Source organism: Homo sapiens, chromosome X, assembly GCF_000001405.40.
Source record: "Homo sapiens chromosome X, GRCh38.p14 Primary Assembly".
In the NCBI taxonomy this organism is placed as follows: domain Eukaryota; kingdom Metazoa; phylum Chordata; class Mammalia; order Primates; family Hominidae; genus Homo; species Homo sapiens.
The window spans coordinates 134,643,936-134,664,299 of record NC_000023.11 but is presented as its reverse complement, the minus strand read 5'-3'; the positions used below and the strand labels follow the sequence as shown (position 1 = coordinate 134,664,299).

Genomic DNA, 20,364 nt, shown 5'->3' with positions numbered 1-20,364 from the left:
AAAGTGTGGCTCCCAGACCAACAGCATCAGCATTAGCATCTCCGGGGAACTGATTAGAAATGCAAATTGGGGCCCCCACCAGGGACCTAGTGAAAGAAACTCTGGGAGTGGGACCCAGTCATCTGTGTTTTAACAGGCCCTCCAGGTGATTCTGAGGCACCCTTAAGTTTGAGAGCCTCTGTTCTAGAGGTTTCTAAATTCCACTGCCAGAGAAAGCAAGGATGCATTCACATGTGCTCTGCTCATGTGCATAACCAGTGTCCTGTGTCCTTGGTATGACTTAGAGGCACACGCCAGGTCCATATAACTTCAAAGTCTCTTGTTCTTTATATCCTGAACCCAAGGAAACACATTTCTTTTCTTTTTTTTTTTCTGTTAGCAGAGCAAAGATGAAATATAGCCCAATGTTCCCTCAACAAAAAGATTTATTAATTTGTACTAATGACTGTTTAGAGAAAAACATAAAAACCAATGTCCTTGTTGAATGCTCCTTGATGGCAAAATGTGGATGTTATCTGTAAAATCAACAAATTTGTCACCAAAGTGAAATGTTATCTTTTCCTGAAGACTTTCCCAGGCAGCTGAAGGCCTCAAGGACTAGACAGCCTCCCCCATCACCATGATCAAATGAAGAGGGTTAGAACTTGCAGCCGTAACTCAAATGCCTTAAGATGGCTCAGATGTGTGTTTGTTTTCAGGTTAGGAACTTTGCTCAGAACCCCTGAAGAAAAGGAACCATGAACCTATTCAAAGACTCAAAGAATCCTCTCAGACCTATGCCCCTTCTTACCAGTGTGTTCTGGTAAATGCTTAACAATCTGCACGTGTGCACACGTGCACGCGCGTGCGCGCACACACACACACACATATCTTTATTTTAAATGTGTGGCACGTGATCCAAAAATAATAAAATATACAATATTCATTCTTGTAAATTTCATACAGCTAATTAACATTCATACTCATGCCTTAGTTGATTTTTACCTAACTCTTGTATCCATATCCAACCTAAGGTGGCAATTAACAAACAAGCATGGTTCTGACATAAGTATTGGTTGATACATTGGTTTACATTTATGAATAAGACAAAAGCAAAACAACAAAATGCATGTCAAAATTTCTCTGATTCACATAGTGACATAAATGACTTCTTTACTAAATCAGATAATCATCTTTAAATACTGGAAGGATATTTCCTCAAATTTTTTGTGCTGTTTACAATGTAACAGCTACTGAGACAACACAATTTTTAAGTTTCAGCTGCACTATTAACATTTCCTCCATCTTTCTTAAGCCTAGATCAGGGGTCGTCAAACATATTTTGTTAAAGAGCCAGATAGTAAATATTTTAGGCTTTTTGTTTGTTTGTTTGAGACAGGATCTCGCTCTGTCACCAAGGCTGGAGTGTAGTGGCATGATCTCGGCTCATTGCAAACTCTGCCTCCCAAGTTCAAGCAATTCTCCTGCCTCAGCCTCCCAAGTAGTTGGGACTACAGTCGTGCACCACTATGCCTGGATACTTTTTATTATTTTGTAGAGATGAGGTTTTATCATGTTGAGCAGGCTAGTCTCGAACTCCTGGGCTCGAGCAATCCACCTGCTTCAGCTTCCCAAAGTGCTGAGATTACAGGCATGAGCCACTGCGCCTGGCTAAGCATTTCAGGCTTTGTAGCCACATAGTCATTTTTTTTACAACCCTTTAAAAATGTAAAAATCATCCTTTGCTTGTGGGCTACACAAAAACAGACTGTGGGGAAAGTTCTCAACTCTTGGTCAAGACAATCAACACAACAATAGATTAAGCACTGCTTTGTAGCATTTGCTAGTTTCCCTGACATAAATAGTCCTACCATGGCCAACTTCAGGCTACACAACTTGATGTCACAGAATGTGGAGTTGGGAAGAGATGTCCAGTGGCAGAACATTATATAGTATTTCCAGTATACTGATATAAAAGATATAAGTAACCTCAAGAGCATGGATAATAGCAAAGTGTAGTCAAATAATTAGAAAGGGATGAGTTTCGCATATGTATTAGCTTTGTGGGTTTTTTTGGTTTTGTTTTTTGAGACAGGGTCTCATTCTGTCACCCAGGCTGGAGTGCAGTGGCATGATCATAGCTCACTGCAGCCTTGACCTCCTGGGCTCAAACGATCCTCCTGCCTCAGCTGGGACCACAGGTGTGTGGCACCACACCCAGCTAATTTTTTAAAAATTATGTTTTGTAGAGATATGGTCTCCCTATGTTGCCCAGGCTGGTCTGGAACTCCTCAGCTTGAGTGATCCTCCCACCTCAGCCTCCTAAAGTGTTGGGATTACAGGCATGAGCCACCACACCTAGCCAAGCTTTGTTTTTCATATAATTTATTTTATTGCAAGGTTATATAATTTAATTTCTAATAATGGCTGAATTTAACAACTCAGCTCTCAAAATTAATTTGTCTCTTGTAAGTTGGTATGAGCACACCATTGTGACCATAACAAATTTCAACCTGTCTTTTTTTGTTGGGGAGTAGGTAAAAAGAGAATCTTCACTCAATTTGGTCCATTATTCCTTGTAACAAAAGAATTTACTACAGGGTTTCTTTGAAGCTGGGAGTTTCCCTGGCTCTTCTAAAATAGGAAATGATTTTAGATGTTATTTTTACGTATTTTCAAAAAGAGGTCTGTCTCTATTCTCAACTGCTTCCTGACCACCTTTTGCTTCCAAATAATGAAAACTATTTAAAGGAAAAAGGAACTACTGTAGTGTGGTTTTAAGAAAAGCACATACTTTGCTCTTTCAGAAGTAGTTACACAATACTTCTGCCCATAAACTGGGGAAGAGTTAAAATAGCTTTCCAAGGCTCCTCCCAGGGCTGTGATTTTCCTCTCATCTGCTCAGGTAATGCCACTCATGGTGCTCATTCATTTATTCAGCTATTTGAGCATCTACCAACTGCCCGCCAGTGTGCTGAGCCCCAGGGACACAGCAGAACGCGAGAGAGACATGGCCCCTGCTGAATAAGTAATTACGCAGATCATTATTTACTTATACTTTACATTAGTACCTTAAAGGAGAGCATATAACATAGCGGCCTGATCTATTCTGGGAGATTCAGGATGTGGCATTTAACCTGACACCTGAAGAATGAGTAGAAAGCCATGCCAAGGAAGAGGCAAAAAGAAGTAGAACACCCTTCCTTCCAGGTGATGGGGACATCCTATAGGATGCTTGCCCAAAGCACAGGTACACATACAATACATACACAGATACACAGCATCTCTTTGGTATTAAAATTTAATGGGGGGAGAAATTAGAAAAAAAAAAGACGTCTAAAAAGGCTCCTGGGATGAAGGGGATGATAATTTTTTTAAAACAACATTGAGAAACATTGGTTTATATAAACAACTTGGTGCTCTTGAGCTATTATCACAGCAGTGGCAGAGCTAAGAGGCTGACTCCTCTCATGAGGACTAGCTACAGACCTGCAGGCTCCAGAGGCTGATACTAAGACAGGAAGTTAGAGGACTCATGGTTTCCCACAACTCCAGAAAATATCCTCTGTTATCTTTCAAATACTGCCTCTTCTCATTCTCTCTCTTCCCTCCTTCTGGAACTCCAACTGGACACTTACTGGAACTTCTCATTCTGTCCTCCATGTAGCTTAGCTTTCCTTTCTTATTTTTCATCTCTTTATTCCTCTGCTCTGCATCTGGATAATTTCCTCAGCTCTATCTTCTGGTTCACTCATTCTCTCATCAACTGTGTTTAGTTTGTTGTTTAATCCCTCTGTTGAGTGTTCTTTTTTCCATTGCAATGCCTATATTTCGGTTCTTTTTTGCATTCACCTGTATTTTTCAAACTATTCTATTCTTGCCTTCTAGTTTCTATTCCTTTTTAAAACCTCTTTCGGCCAGGCATGGTGGCTCACGCCTGTAATCCCAGCACTTTGGGAGGCTGAGGCGGGTGGATCACCCGAGGTCAGGAGTTCAAGACCAGCCTGGCCAACATGATGAAATCCTATCTCTACTAAAAAATACAAAAATTAGCTGGGCATGATGGCAGGCACCTGTAATCCCAGCTACTCAGGAGGCTGAGGCAGAAGAATCGCTTGAACCCAGGAGGCGGAGGTTGCAGTGAGCTGAGATCGCACCATTGCACTCCAGCCTGGGTGATAGAGCAATACTCTGTCTCAAAAAAAAAAAAAAAATCTTTGAACATTTTCAGCATACTTATTTTAAAATCCCTTTTAGATTTTCTTATTAGCTGTGGTTCTTAAGGTATGAATTCTTCCATTGGTTGCACTGGTCTTATGGTGGTTTATTTCCTCACGGACTTAGTAAGTTCTAGCTATGCATTCATCCTGAGTCATAGATACAAACACAGATTCATGTGCTATATACCACCTGGGTTTGAATTCTGGCTCTGCCACTTAGTACCTGTGTGACCTTAGGTAAGTTATTTAATCTCTCTGTTCTTCAGTTTCAGTATCTGGAAATCAGGGCTGTTCTACAAATGAGTTATTAGGTTGGTGGAAAATGATTGCAGTTTTTGCCACTAATTTCAACGGCAAAAACCGCAATTACTTTTGCATCAACCTAAATAATATAAGCCAAGCACTTAGGACAGCATCTGGCACATAATTAAGCACTTGGCTAGTGTAATTACTGTTATTTGGCAGGAATTGTTTTACCTTGGAGTCTTATGTACTTTGGGTTATGTGACTGCCTACTCTCAGCTCAAAGTGGCCAGTACACTTCTGAACTGTGTTTTTTCCCCCATCCCCACTTATGGGCCAGCACTTACCACTACTGACTTTCCATAGGAGCTCAGATTCCACTCCCGTTCCCACCCTGCCATTCAAACCCTTCGCCCAGGATATGTGACCACCTTTGGTTCTTCTGTGGGCTGTGTAGTTGCTGCTGTGGCTTTGAGCTCCCTCTTCATTTCTGGCACTAGAATATGTTTATTTTTGCTTTTGCTCTCTACAACATATTTAAATTTTTGAAAAAACAATGTGTTTTGAGCAGGGGAGGAGCTTCCTGCAACAGCTCAGGCAACCATACTGACCAGTAATCCCTAAAAATTCTTTCTTTTTTTTTTAAATTTTAAGTTCCGGGGTACATGTGCAGGATGTGCAGGTTTGTTATGTAAGTAAACATGTGCCATGGTGGTTTGCTGCATCGATCAACCCATCACCTACATATTAAGCCCAGCATGCATCAGCTATTTTTCCTGATGCTTTCCACCCGCCACAGCCCCCCAAGAGGCCACAGTGTGTGTTTTCCCCTCCCTGGGTCCATGTGTTCTCATTCTCCCTGAGCATTCTTCCTGAAGAGGCTTACCTCTCATTTGGCAGTGGGCTCCTTGAGAGAACTGGGGACAAAGGCTGGATTCCTGGTGGGAAGGGACATATATTATTTGTTTTTGTATTCCCTATGCCTGATATGTGTTTACTGAGTAAAGACACGAAAGACTGCCTTGGCAACAGCAAGCACTACAAGTGGCCAGCTCACTGCTTGATTTCTCTAAGAATTACCACCACCATGTTGTAACCCTCCTCCCCGCCCTTCTTCCTGTGAATGAGTTCTGTCAAGGTGACATGGCTTCTAACACATGACAGTAGGTATCATTCAATCACTGATGATCTCAAGGGTGAGTAGCTTTCTTTTACTCTGTAAACAAAATGCCAAACTGGGAAATGCTGCAGAGGCCACATATTATTCTGACTTTCAGAGTGTTGTTTCGAAAGCACCAGAGTAAAATGTTAAGCAGGTAGCTGATGCAATCTGGCAAAGTCAGTATATAGCTCTATTTATATAAAGACACACACATATATCAGACCATCAGAAGGATTTGTATAAAGAGTGACTCTCCTATGAAGGTAAAGGCCACCCCTCTTCAGTTCCAGTGACTGAGATACATTTTTCCAATCCTGGGGGCAAATACAGACACAGCAAGTTCCTTCTTCCCTTTGGAAATTTGGCAGGTAAGTCAAGTCTGTCTCTGTTGCCACATTCTCTCGAGATTTTATGACTGTGCACATGGCCTGTGTGAAAGCTTCGCTTAGGTCACCTTATGCCTTGGCAGCCAGCATGGTGTATGACGATTCAGGAAGACCCTGGTGTTTCCCAGATGGGGCCAGATCTGGCCATGCAATTATTGCCCTCCAGCTGGGAAATGTGACATGGGGGTGATGAAGTGGCTGCTGAGAAGGAGGCAGTTAGACTCTGAATTTGGTCTGTTCTTTATTTAAATCTAAAGATTGAACACACACACACATAGATCTAAAATCAATATCATACATTCACACACACACACACTCACACATGCACCACTCCCCAACTGCACAGGGTATTTTTTAGGGATTCATGTGGGATTCCCCTACACATATTTCCCAGTCTAACTGCCTATTCTTTCCCCTGTTTACTTGCCATCTCATCATTCTCTCTTCCTTTACTCTCCTACTTATCTTTATCATTGCTTTTAGCTGTGTGTTCCTATTAACCCAGATGATCAGTTTCAGACTCTTTGAGAAAGAGACAGGGACCCTAAATCCATTGTGAGCTGCTTTGTCTCATTCTCTCCCATGACCACAGAGAGGCATGTCTCTGGACCTTGATTCTGAGAGGAAACAGATTCACAGAAACTACACCACCACTGGTAGCACAATGTTACTCTCAGGGTGGACATTCTCATTTATAAAAAGAGTAGTAGAATAAATTGCATTCTAATCCCAGCAGCTCTAATAACTTGTCCTTCTTTCTATCAATATACTGATCACTGTTACTACAGAGGCAGCAGGGAACAAATATGGGCTCTGTATTTAAACAAACTTGGGTTCAAGTTCCAGCTTCAGCAGTTAATAGCTGAGTGACACTGGGCAAGTTGCTTATCCTCTCTGATCTTCTGTTTCTTTATCTGCTTAATTGGCATCAAATAGAATATACAGACAGTCCCCAACTTGCAATGGTTTGGCTTGCAATTTTTTGACATTATGACGGGCTTATTAGGGTACTGAATGCATTTTTGATTTATGATATTTTTGATTTGTGATGGTTTTATCGGGACATAGCCCCATCATAAGTCAAGGAGCATCCGTATGTTCAAGGTGCTGGATACATAATTGGTGCTCTATAAATAGGTGGAATTACTATGATTATTTGGATGATGGTCGCAACCCTTGGTCCTTCCTGTCTCACTGGAGTTAGAGACAATCAGAGTTAAAGGAGGACTCTAAAGATGAACAAAGCATCTTCTCACGGTCAAGTGACAGCTCGGAGCTGCTGGATGCTCAGCATAGCACTAGCTCTCTAACAGGCTCTAGGAGAAACAATGGGTAGATCTACTCCTGCTCTCAAGGGGCCCTGGCCATCCAAATGAGCAGATAAGATGAAAATGTCTACAAATGTTAAAAAAGAAAAAAAAAAGGCTGGGCATGGTGGTTCATTTCTGTAATCCCAACACTTCGGGAAGCTGAGGCAGGAGGATTACTTAAGCCCAGGAGTTCAAGACCAGCCTGAGCAATGTAGGGAGACACCGTCTCTACAAAAACTAAAAATAAAATATCCAGGCTTGGTGGGGCACACCTGTGGTCCTAGCTACTCAGGAGGCTGAGATGGGAGGATCACTTGAGCCCAGGAGATCGAAGCTGCAGTGAGCCATCATCACTCCACTGCACTCCAGCCTGGGGGACAGAGCACAACCGCATCTCAAAAAAGAAAAGAAAAAAAGAGGAAAATGTAAATATGAGTGGGCAATAAGACTAGTATCTGCTAAATTCTTCCCTATAGACCACAAGTGCTATGGAAATTCAGAGAGGGGGTGCTGCTGTGAATAAGAAGTCCTCCTGGAGGAGGCAAGGCTTCAGCTGAGACTTAAAGAAAGGATGAGGCTTGGAGTGACCCCTAGAAAAGGTGGGAGCTCTGTGGGCAAATGCTGGTCAAACTTGAGAGGTAGGCACAACTGTTATTTCCAATTTACAGATAAGAAAATGGAAGGCCAGATAAGCCTAGTGACTTCTCTAAGGCCACTCAGCAAGTAATGGCAGCACTAGGATTTAGGTAGAGATCGGTCTCTGTCTGGTGTTGAAGGCTACATTCAAAGCTGGCTCTGACTGAAGAAAGATGAGAAATAGGAAATAGCCATTGATGGTTTTCCAGATAGGAGTGACGTAGAAAAGGCAGTGTGTTTTCTATATTCACAGTGCAGCAGGTGTTCAGGGGACGATTCTGGCACTAGAGGGGTCAATTAGGAGGCAGTTGCAATACTTTAGGGCTGAGGTATTGAAGGCCTGATCCAGGGTAGGGGCATGGTGGGACTAGAGAAGGCATTAAGCCATTAGGCATGTCAAAGGGCAAATTCACAGACTTGGGAACTGGCTGAATAAGGAGAAAGAAGGACAGCGGGATGATTAAAGAATCTGATATGGGAACCAGAAGACTGGGCAATGCTGCTACTAGGCATATTGGGATAGCATACTCATTTTAAGGTTGCTGTTTATATAAAACAGAGCCTGGTTTCTTTTATTATTATTGCTATTAAATCTTTTTATTTTTTTAAAAACACACATACCATAAGAAAACAGACAAATTCAGAATATGAGATATTCTACAAGACAACTAGCCTGAACTCTTCAAAAATTCAGTGTCACACACAAAAATTAGGAGCATGCACTGTTCTAGATTAAACGACACTAAAGGGACATAAGTAGATGCAATACACAAACCTTGGTTTTGGATTCTGGATTTTACAAAGCTATGAAAGACATTTGGGGAATATTGGGGCAATTTGAATATGGATTGGAAATTAGATTATATTAGGAATTATTGTTTATTTTCTTAGCTGTGATAATATATTGTGGTTAGGAGGGAGAATCTTCTTATTCTTTAAAGAGTCATTCTGAAGAATTTAGTGGGAATGTGTTATGATGCCTGTGACCTTCAAATATATGTGTGTGTGTGTGTGTGTGTGTGTGTGTGTGTAAATAGATTGACTGATAGAAACAGAACTACACAGCAACTATGTTGAAATGTTAATTGTGGAATCTTGGTGGTTATATGTATGTTCATTGTTCTACTTCTTTGATCTATTTGTACGTTTGAATTTTTTCAAAATAAAATTCAGGAAAAAATAATGCATGAACATTGTAAAAAACAACAACAACAACAGTAAAAAAGGGTATGGGGGGAACCTTTCTGCCCCAGACACCCAATACTCCTTCCCAGAAGTAACCACTGGTCACATTTCTTGAAATGTTATCTGCATTTTACAAGCCTATGTATGTGTTTGTAAATTCTGTTAATAAATAGATAGGTTCATGCTATGCATCTTTTTGTTAGCTACAAGTAGACTCTCTTATCTATTCAACTGGGAGAGTAGTTAGTTAATTAAAAATCAGTAAAAGTGGAAGTGCTTGGACCCACTAGGGAGTGGTGACCAAGTGCATCCAGAATACTGTGGGTATCAATCAGTGCATTTTACACAGGAAATGGAGAGCATCCTTTAATTGTGAGAGTTGGCCCCACAGACGTCAGCTAAGCGAGCTTCCACTGTAATGGCAGCAGCCTGCTTTTTTGTTTCACTTCAGGAGCCTTCTTGGAGGTGTTAAGAAGGCCTAGGTCTGCCAACATGGCCTCTGAGCCACTGGTAGAACCTTCAGGAATGAGAGAGGTGAGCCATTGGGCTTGGGGAGAGGTGAAGTCAGCAAGTGCATGAGGGGCCTGGGCTAGGACTCTTCTCATCTGAACCCCACAGGCACACCCTGACTGTTCCATATAACCACGTGTAGATCTGTCTCATTCTTTCAGTACAGTTATGTCTCATTCTTTCAGTACAGTTTTTAGGATGAATTGCTTTTAGGATGAGTATGGTTTTAATCATATTGTGCTTTGGGAGATGGTGGAACATCTGGGTAGAAAAAACATTGCCTAGGCTTCCTGAACTTGCCTGATCGTAAGAATCATTTGGGTATTTGTCTAACAAGCTTTCCAGCTAGGGCAGTGCTGCCATACGCAGTTGGAGAACCAGGTCTAGGGCTCCAGCGACAGGACTGCACTGACAGATGGAAGCTCCACTAATGGTGCTAGTTAAAGGCCTGAGAATAGACAGAGCAGGCAAGATGCCTGAGAAATGCTGAAGTCCAAGGATGGAGCCCACTAATTCCCATACAAGCTTCCTCCCCCAACCCCTCCCCTCCAGAGATGATTGCCTCCTCTTGCAATCGTTGGGGTCACATTTCCAAAGCATGTGCAGCTTTGAATATGAAAACCCTCCCTAACTGGCAGCACCTGGGCAAATTCAAATCACATACTTGGACATAAGACTCCTCCTTGCAAATGGGAAGGATGATTGGAAAAATGTGATTCCAGAAACCAGATCTGGACTGAACTGAAATTGCCTGAAAAATGAAAGCACTGGCACAATTAACAAAAAGGGACTGGATTCCTTTATTTATTTTATTTATTTGCAGCTAAATCCTACACAGCTTGCAGACCTTGGGAGACAGCCATCCTTTTATCATTCCTGATATGGACTTGAATTTCTAAGAAATGACTTTTTTAATGGTCTGTGGAATTGAACTCCTACTAGAAGCGGCCCTAGGACTCCCAGTCACAATGTTTTAAGAACAATCCTGAGACAAGAGCAGGAGCTCTGAGGGGCCTTGTGTGCCCACAGACCCATGAAGCCATATGCTGACCTCATATTGGTCTCTTCAGGTGTCCTAGAAAACCCAGCTCTGCATCTAACTCACCCTCTGCATTGGGACAAGGTAGAGCAAGGCCCAATGTCATTTTAGGGACCCACAATGGCAGAGGACTGCATTGGCTTGTCACACTGCCTGAAATGTTCACATTTCAGTGTGAAGCACTGACGTCCCCTGTCTTCTCTAAATCAAAGTGTCTCAGAGGTAAAGACAGGATCTCTAATTTTTTTAAGACAAGCAGCTTTTCACTTAAGGTTAAAAACCAAATGGAGAAGGGTGGGTAGTGATGTGTCTGGTTTTTGTTGTAAGCCTGGAGGGTGAGCAGGTGGTTAGGAGAGGGAAGGGTGTCAAGAAGACCCAGGCCTGCCAACATGGCCCCTGAGCCACTGGTAGAACCTTCAGGAATGAGAGAGATGAGCCATCAGGCCTGAGGAGAGGGCCTGGGGAGAGTGTATGAGGGGCCTGGGCCAGGACTCTTCTCATATATGGCCCCACAGGCACACCTGGACTGTAATGATTGTGGAATCGGGAAGCCATCACCACAGTTTCCAATTCCTTACCACTATTATTACCATGACTGTGCTGAGTGCATGTGCTTTGAATTTTCAGTGAGCCTGCTAGCCCAGGGACACTTCCACCTGCGCTGTTATGCAGTGACACAGACTGATGGACCACAGTAGCAGAGAGCAGCCGCGGACCTCACATCTGGGGGATCAGGCCTCAAGGATTTTGCATGACAGTTTATTCCAGCTCTGCCATGTCTCTTAAGAAATCCACAGTTTTGATTTTCTGTAACTGCCCCCACCCCCGCCCATGCTTTTAAAAACACATATTATGTGCCAGATGCTAGAGTAAGCATATTGGATATATCATTTATTTAATCCTCACCACAGCACTGTGAGGTAGATGTTATTGTTAACCAATTTTACAGATGTGGAAACTGAGGCACAGAGAGATTAAGTAACTTGGCCAGCACTGCTCTGCTCCAGCAGAATTTCTGGAAGTCAGCTGGCCAGCTAGACTCTTTCAGATTACTTTTCCTCACCCAAGCCCACTTCTGAATTTTCTCTCCCTATTGATTCAACCCCTGTGGTGACAGGTTTATCTTCAAATGAGGTTTCCTAGGATAGCCCTGCTATGGAGTCAACCTGACCAAGGGCCAGCTGCACCACTCACCTGGGAGCAGTTGCCTGTAGAACCAGAGAACAGAAATAACAAACTTCACTAGGGTTGGCCGCAAACCACAAGATCCTCTAGAAGGACCCCAAAATGTCCGTGAAGACCAATAGTCAGATTACTGACCATGCCGCCAGAGAAGAAAAGGGCAGCCTACCAACTATCCATCCTATTTGAGCCACGTGACTTGCCAACGTGGGTGTTTTCTGAGGAAAACCTTCAGTTCACCCAGCAATTCCAGCCTAAGCTCTTTTCCGAGTCTGCCTGAACTAACTAGATATTTGCCTCTGGGTCACTGTAACCCAAAAAGGCTTAATTAAAATCAGGAAATAGGCTCAAGTTCCTCTGCTGCAATACTATAAACTTTAGATAGGCCAAAGTAGGCTGCAAGGACACACAGGGATAAAAGGTACTTTGGATACAGCACAGTCGTCTGGGATACTCATACACACACCCACATGATACCCTCCTCCCCCCGTAGAAATTAAGAAATGAGAAAAGGAAAGTATTTGGCTCTAGGTGAGCTTCCTTTGTAAAGGCTGGAGACAATGCATTTGTCTACTGAACACATTTTGTCTGGGTATGGGGGAAGCAATCTCTCCAGCCTGAGGGTCTCAGGCAGGACTTGGCCTGGTGGGTGACTGGGGCCAAGTGGGGGATGACTGGCAGGCCGAGGGCATGAGGAGGACAGAGGAAGAAAGGGGGGAAAAAGGTGAGGGGGTGAGAGACTAGAAAGTGAAGGGAACAGGCACAGAAGGGAGAGAAGAGGGACGCCAGAGATGTTTGGAGTAGGGACAGTTGGGAGAACCCATGGCGCTGACAGCTCCGCATCTTGATAAAGTCATTTCCTGTTTATCAGACATCATTAGGGCATTAGAGTTCTCATACCAAAGATTTATCCAAGAGTAGACATTTGGCCCCTTTGGGTATCAATCCTTTTGGAACTCAGTTTCATTTTTTTGTTGTTTTTATTTGTTTATTTGTTTGTTTTTACTGTGAATATACCTTATTTAGTCATTTTTGTTTACAAGTGAAACTCTGGGAATTCAAAATTAACTTCGTTACCTATGAGCTTCTTAAAGACACCAGAAAAGTTTCAACCTTGTGTGCCACATTGTTCTGCTGTGCTTTGTCCAAATGAACTTTTGCGAGGCAGCTGCCATCCAGTTTCAAGTGGATTCTCTTGCCCACAATTTCACTTGGAAAGACCAAGTCCTCAAGATCGCATGGTACGCAGCTATCAGAGTACAGCTCCTGTGATGCTTTTGCTTATTTTTTGTATGGCTTTTTCAAGTTGGCTTAGGCAGAATTCTCCTCTGAGCAATAAAGACAACATGCTTCTCACTGAACTTTTTCTCCAATTCACATACTAGCCAGACTTGGATTTTCTGGGAAGATTTCAGTCGAGAAACAGGAACAAAGATTATGATAGCTTTCTGACTACCACCAACTTCAGTTTCCTTGGCTGCTGTGATATTCAGCTCCCTGAGCTGAGCCTTGAGGTCCACGTTCATCTTTGGCTCCAGAAGAGCCTGGGAGATGCCGAACTTGAACTTGTCTGGCTTCTTGCCGTTGGGCTTCGTGATCCTAGTGTTCAAACTGAACGTGGCCTTCTCCTTGCTGAGTGCTGGCTTAGGAAGAAGCCCAAGTCTCACAGTTTGGGATAGATAGCTTTTGAAATGTATTCACACTCCACTGCTTTCTGAAACTAAACATCCTGAGTCTTTTTTCTGGAAACAGTGGTAAAAGAGGCAAGGAGTTTGCTTGTGAATATTGGTTTCATTCTTTAAATAGATATTTGTTTATTCAGGGCCTTCTGTGCACTAAGCACTGTGTTGGGTGCTGTGGACACGACAGACCTGGAGCCTTCTTATGGAACTTGTTCTGCCTATAATTTGGCCCATTTTGAGGGGGTCAGAGAATGAACACTTCCACTTCCTAAACTGTGCTGGGCTGTGATGCAGTGAGGTCTTTGAGGGTCTCGGGAATAAGTCGGGTTGTTTACCCTTGTAATAAAAGGCTCCAGATTGTGGTGCCGAGACTTCCCAGTGTCAGCTGTCTCTCCGTGCTGCTGTCACCGTGTTGTTTCTGTAGGAGCAGAAAGATGTGATCTCTTTCCTAACCCATCATAAGGGTCATGGCCGACACTCCTATAACAAAAGACAGTTAACAAGAGAAAAGCATTTAACAAATTTATTTAATCAAAGTTTTACATGACATGGGAAATTTCAGAAATGAAGACCCAAAGACCCAGGGAAAATTGAGTATTTTTATGCTTAGATTCTATAAAGAATGTTTAGAAATGTGATTGGATAAAGGGTATGATCTAATGGTAATAGACTGAAGGCAGAGGGTACCCAGTAAGGCCTGTCTGTTTAGATTCTTCTTGGCTTTTCTGTGTAGCATTCCTTCCTCCAGGGTATAGGGCAGGAACTCTCTGGCATGAGGGTCTACAAGGAAGAAGTGACCTTTCTAGATTGTATGGGTTGCCTTGGGGGAGAGAGGTTCTAGTTTCTGTGATTCCCCCCGGGGCGGGAGACAGGAGGGTAGGAGAAGGTCAGAGAGAGACTTTGCTTCTGAGGTGGCTTCTGAGACCTTCCAGTCTCCTTTAGTTCAAAGTACTCAGCATGCCAAAGCGCCATCGTTTGGGTTACCATTTTCTGAGGCCCAGCACTTCTTATCTGCCATGTTATTTAACACATGTTTGCCTAGGCTAGGGCCTTACAGTGGCTTTTCTCTCCCACGGAGTATAAAGTGGATGTGTTTTGTGATAATGGTTGGCCATTTGGATGTATTTCCTCTTCATTCCACATGGTTGAGGTTGCTGGAAGTATAGCTTCCAAGGAAGTGGTGACTTACATTATAGTATAGTCAGTGGCGTGCTGGCCTCCCTCAGTTGAGCAGGGAGGGGAATGCTGGTTTATAGTGTTTGCTGATTTCCATGGTGTAAATGCTCCCACCATGGCCAATTTCAAGCTCCCGACATGACATCACTGAACAAGGAGTCCGGAATACATGTGCAACAGCAAGGCATCATAGCGTATTTCCACCATACAGATACAATAGATGTAAATAACCTCAAAAGCATAGGTAACAGTAAGTGTAGTAAAATAATTAGGAAGTGATGAGTTTTGAGTATTCATTAGCTTTGTCTTTTTTTTTTTTTTTTTTGAGATGGAGTCTCCCACTGTCACCTGGGCTGGAGTGCAGTGGCGCTATCTCTGCTCACTGCAACCTCCACCCAGGTTCAAGTGATTCTCCTGCCTCAACCTCCTGAGTAGCTGGGATTACAGGCACCCGCCACCACGCCCTGCTAATTTTTTGTATTTTTAGTAGAGATGGGGCTTCACTATGTTGGCCAGGCTGGTCTCAAACTCCTGACCTCATGATCCACCTACCTTGGCCTCCCAAAGTTCTGGGATTACAGACGTGAGCCACTGCGCCCGGCCTGCTTTGTCTTTAATATAACCTAATTGTAAGTTTAGATCATTTCACTTTTAACAATGGCTATATTTAACAAACTGGCCCACAAAATTCATGTTGAACCATCGATTCTCACTATCTGGGTGAGTGTGGTCCTGCCTCACTTTTCTCTTAGCTTAAGCAGTAGAGAGTCTGAGTAAACTGGGTCCCAAGGCTCTTGCCCCCACTTTAACCAGAGCAGCCCCACTTGTATTCATTTCGTACATAATGGGGTTCTGTGTTTGAGGAGAGGGTTCCAATGTTTTTTATTTTTTAACCTTTTTTTTTTAGATGGAGTCTCGCTCTGTCACCCGGGCTGGAGTGCCATGGCACAATCTCGGCTCACTGCAACCTCTGCCTCCTGGGTTCAAGCGATTCTCATGCCTCAGCCTCCTGAGTAGCTGGGACTACAGACATGTGCCACCATGCTAGGCTGATTTTTGTATTTTTAGTAGAGACGGGGTTTCGCCATGTTGGCCAGGCTGGTCTTGAACTCCTGACCTCAAGTGATCCACCCACCTCGGCCTCCCCAAGTGCTGAGATTACAGGTGTGAGCACCCAGCCTCCACGTTTTTTAAATGTTTTTTTAAAAGGCATTGGTATAGATGGTCTATGAGGTTCCTTCCGTTTATGGTATCTTAAGTTAGCCATGTCTTCCATTTTCCCTTTCATTCCCTTGTCCCCTCTTGTCACTCAGGCATCCTATTCCTGCTATTCCCAGAGATCATTTTGTCCCATCCCAGGCTCTCCATCTTCACTGAAGAGATAGCTGTTATCAGCTGATAGGGTTTTAGGTGATATTCCTCCCAGGCGTATTTTACTCTTCAACACATGACTCCAGAAGACACATAAGGTCTTTCAAATAAAAGGAATGAATTTTTAAAAGCTGAAATTCCAGGCAGGGTGCTGGGGGTGAGGGGTGGGGTGCTATCTGTACTCAGTGCCCTTAAAATCATAACACTGAACAGTCAGACCTGATTCTACTTTGCAGTATCCTTCAAAAATCTCTTGATTTCGATGGGTTGCTAGGTTACCCCCAAAAAACTGCCCAAGGGTGTATCTCTATTTTTCTTTACACAACACAGTTTTCCTGCAGTGAAAACTGAAACCTTATTCTAGCAGATGTTTGGTTCGTCTTCCCCTGAATGCAAAGTTTTCATCCATGGAAATGATAGAGAGGCTGCAAAGGTTATGGATATGACACAATCCTTTCTGAAGGCAAATTCACCCTCTTTAGCATGCCAGAAAAATTATTTTTCCAGGAAAACTAAACACTAAGCACATGCTTGGATGTTCCTTTCAAGCAAGAGAGGAGCCCTTTCTATCCCATTAAGGTCAGGCAATTGCCCAAATGATTTGCTTCACTGCCTATCATAACGGGGAGTGTGGGATGGAACCAGCAGGTGTTTACTCTCATCTCTCTCCATCCAGCAGGCTAGCCAAGCAAAGTTCATAGGCACAGGCACCCTCTGAAGCCTGGAGTCAGAGAGGCTGAGGCTGGGGGACACTCGGGACCCCTCCAACACACACACACACACACACACACACACACACACACACACAGATGCATGCATGCCCACACATAGAAGACCACAACATTCCCTCAGTTCAACACAGCAGCTCATGAGAGTCAGTATTATGGAAGCAAAAGTAGAGCAGAGCAGTGGAATAAGATGCATGGAACCTGGTGGCCCAGAAGGCCACGGGATGGGGCACAATAATGAGCTTCTCGGCCAGCTGCCCAGTCTGCTGGGTGCATACTGTTCAAATGTAGATAGGATAGCCAGTGGCCCAGGAGCTGTGGGGGACAAGAGGGCTGCTATTTCCTGCCTACACGGCTACCTTCGGAGGCCTGGGGTACTTTCCATAGCTTTGCTTCTCAGGTTCTGTCCCCACTTCTGACACCAGCAGCAACCTCCCTTTGGCCCCATTTTGCTGAGGACATGGCTCACTATCTGAAAGCTTCAACTGTAAGGAGGTACGTATGCATGCCCAACACACAAAACAGACCCAAAGCCAAACTCTGTCCAGTTGAGGCCAGCTTAGGCAATAAATCTTGCTCAATTCCCTGGTCAGAATACCTCTGGCTACCTCTGCAAGCCCGGTCTAGTCTTGATCCAGGGCCGTTTGGCCAAGGTCCCTGCACAGTCGGCACTCTTTCCTCTTCCCTGTCCAAGCTGAGCTCACTCTCCCCTGGCTTTCCCCAAAGTCCTTCACTTTCAGAATTGGAATCTTTTGAACCAAAACTTTCTTTCTTACAAAAATATCTTCTCTAACTCTCACCTCTAGCCTTCCATTCTAGATTTCTAGGTTCTCTTGTGTCTTCTAACACTTGAATTCTGAGGGAATTTGGTCTCTCCAGGGGAAGCAGAGAGGCACTCCTTATTTATCCAATAACATTCAGTGGCTAATTATCATTTATAGACCATCGTGGAAGTCATCAATCTCAGAGTGTGCTTTTCCCGTATCACTTGCTCCTGATGTTGGAGAGAGATTCGAAATCTAAATGTAAGTCACCAGCAAAATACTGTCTTTTCAATGCACCAAAAGGAGGGAAAGTTAGCTTATCTTGTAGAATCCTTCAAAGTACTGTGAACTAGCTGAGTAAGGGTAATTAGAAAACGGAAAAGGGAAGTCAAGGACAAACTCCCATGTAGTTGGAGAAGTCTCACAATAAAGTAAAATTTCCCAAGAATTGCCGGAAAGCAAGTCTTACAACCACTGGGAAATGATGAGTCCAAGAATTTCAGAAGAGCCTCCACCCTTCACCTGGCCTTGAAATCACCAAAGAGCTCCTACTGCTCCACTCCAGGCTCAAGAAGCAAGCTGCTTTTCATTGCTACTCTTCAAAATGTGCTCATATCCATTATCTCATTTGATTCTCACCATGACCCTGTGAGGTAGGTAGGACAGATATTAGTTTTCCCCGGCTCACTTCTGGAAGATTCCCAGGAGTCAGATTTTGCACAATTGTAAGTTGACAGGTTTGGCTCTATTTGCACATGCTAACAAAATCTGGCCTGGTCCAACCGTATGTAAAGGGAAGATTTGTCATGCAACATTGACCTAAGCTATGCAGAGAGAAGCCTGATCATCGGGGAAGGGGACTAGGGGAAATTTCTTGGGAAATGTAATAATTCTACTCCTCCTTTCCCTTCCTGGGCCTAAAAACTCACGCTTGAATGGGAAGGCTTGCATTATCCTCAAGCTACTCAAAAAGTTTCTTGAAGACTGGATACCAAGGCCAAATTCCTATATATTTAGCTATATTTGATCAACCTTACCAATTAATCAACTGTACATCGTGGGCCCAGCTCTTGCAGGGAGGAAGAGACAGAGAAGTAGGAGATCAGAGTCAATGGATCCTGACCTCCAAAAGCTTACAGTTTTGCTGGGAGCTAAACTTGTACACACTACACAACAATGCGTAGCAGCCAAACAAAAGGAAGAGAAGGTCAGAGAGGGTTGAGGCAGCCAGGGGAGACATCCCAGAAAGTCAGAACAGAGGGGTGGTTAGGAGCATGACCTCTGAGGTTGGGCAGTAAACATGGCTTTGAATTCCAGATCTACCATTATCAGCAATGTGAACCTTGAGCAAATCACTATACGTGATCCATAAAATGGGGTGAAAATGAATAAGTACTTTAAAAGTTGCTGAGAAGATTAAATGAGCACAGTATGGTATCCATTATCTCACTTGAGAAAATAAAATTTGGTGCTGTTTAAGCTAACCATTAAAAATGGGGAAGATTTGGAGACACTCAGGGGGAGAGACAGGACAATACGAGGCGCTGAATTAAACAAAGGTACTGAATTAAAAAGGAAAGGAGGTGGATGAGGATATTGAGAATACTGGTATTGCTAAAGCAGAGAGTACATACATATAAAGGGAGTAGGAGACAATAAACTGTGTTAGATTGGGTGCAGCAAGATGGCAAAAGGCTACCAACTGGAGGAGTTTAGACTGGATATGATAGGAAGGGAGAAGCCACCAGAGATTTTTAAGCAAGAGAGTGACTTGACGATAGTAGTCTTCGAATAGGATTGGCCTATGGAGCACTTGATGACTTGGAGAGGGACTGGAGGATATCCATTGTTTGAGGCATGAGTTGACATGCGCCTGGACTAGAGACATGAGAGTGAGAATAGAAAACATTTGAAAAGTATTTTGTAGGAAAAACTAACCAGATAGAGTAGGTAATTGGATATGGGAGATGAACAAGAAGGAAGAGTCCAAGAGTCTTCCAAAGTTTTTAGTCTAGGTGACTTCAAAAGTGGTGGTGCCATTGTTCTTGCTTATAAGTGGGACCTGAACAATGAAAACACATGGACACACGGAGAGGAACAACGTACACTGGGGCCTGTCTCGGGGGCAGGGGGAGGAGAGCATCAGGATAAACAGCTAATGCATGCAGGGCTTAATACCTAGGTGATAGGTTAATAGGTGCAGCAAACCACCATGGCACACGTTTACCTATGTAACAAACCTGCACATCCTGCACATGTATCCCAGAACTTTAAATTAAATTTTAAAAAAGAAAGTCGTGGTACCATTGACAGAAAAATGGAAGTCAAGAAGAGCAGTAGACATGGAAGGAAGATGATGGACTCAATGTTCAATTTATAGAAATGTCTAGAAAAAAAGTTGATACTGGAATACCCTAGAGAGAAGAATTTCCTTCTTTTACTTCTTTTCTGACAGACACAGACCTCATTTTTTGTTAGATGATTATATTATCTGCAAATATTGACAATTTTGTTTCTTCCTTTCTGATGCTATTAATTCTATTTTTTATTCTATGGCATTGGCTTGGAGCTCTAGTAAAATGTTGAATAGCAGAGTAGCAGTAGAAATAGACATTTCTATCTTGTTCTTGACTTTAAGGGTGAAAACATCTAATATTTCCAAATTTGTTAACAAACACTTGTGTATTGCTTCTGTGTGTGAAACGTTATTATGAACACTTTACAAATATTAGGCTATTTAATCCTCCTACAATGTTATGAAATAGATATTATTATTATTATTATTATTATT

General features: G+C 43.1%; 1 protein-coding gene and 1 pseudogene across 7 annotated transcripts in view; one reads left to right on the top strand and one right to left on the bottom strand.

Annotated features, from left to right (window-relative positions):
* PLAC1 (placenta enriched 1) overlaps positions 1 to 20,364 on the top strand; it is a 198,485-nt gene that overhangs the window by 100,023 nt on the left and 78,098 nt on the right. For 2 of the 7 annotated variants that reach the window (NM_001316889.2, NM_021796.4), the window contains exon 1: positions 5,829 to 5,972. The exons of the other annotated variants lie outside the window; for them this stretch is intronic. The gene's annotated coding sequence lies outside the window, so the exon portion shown is untranslated. Of the gene's footprint in view, positions 1 to 5,828; positions 5,973 to 20,364 lie in introns of those variants that run through there. 7 annotated transcript variants of the gene reach the window in all.
* Positions 12,856 to 13,517, bottom strand: RPS7P12 (ribosomal protein S7 pseudogene 12; annotated as a pseudogene).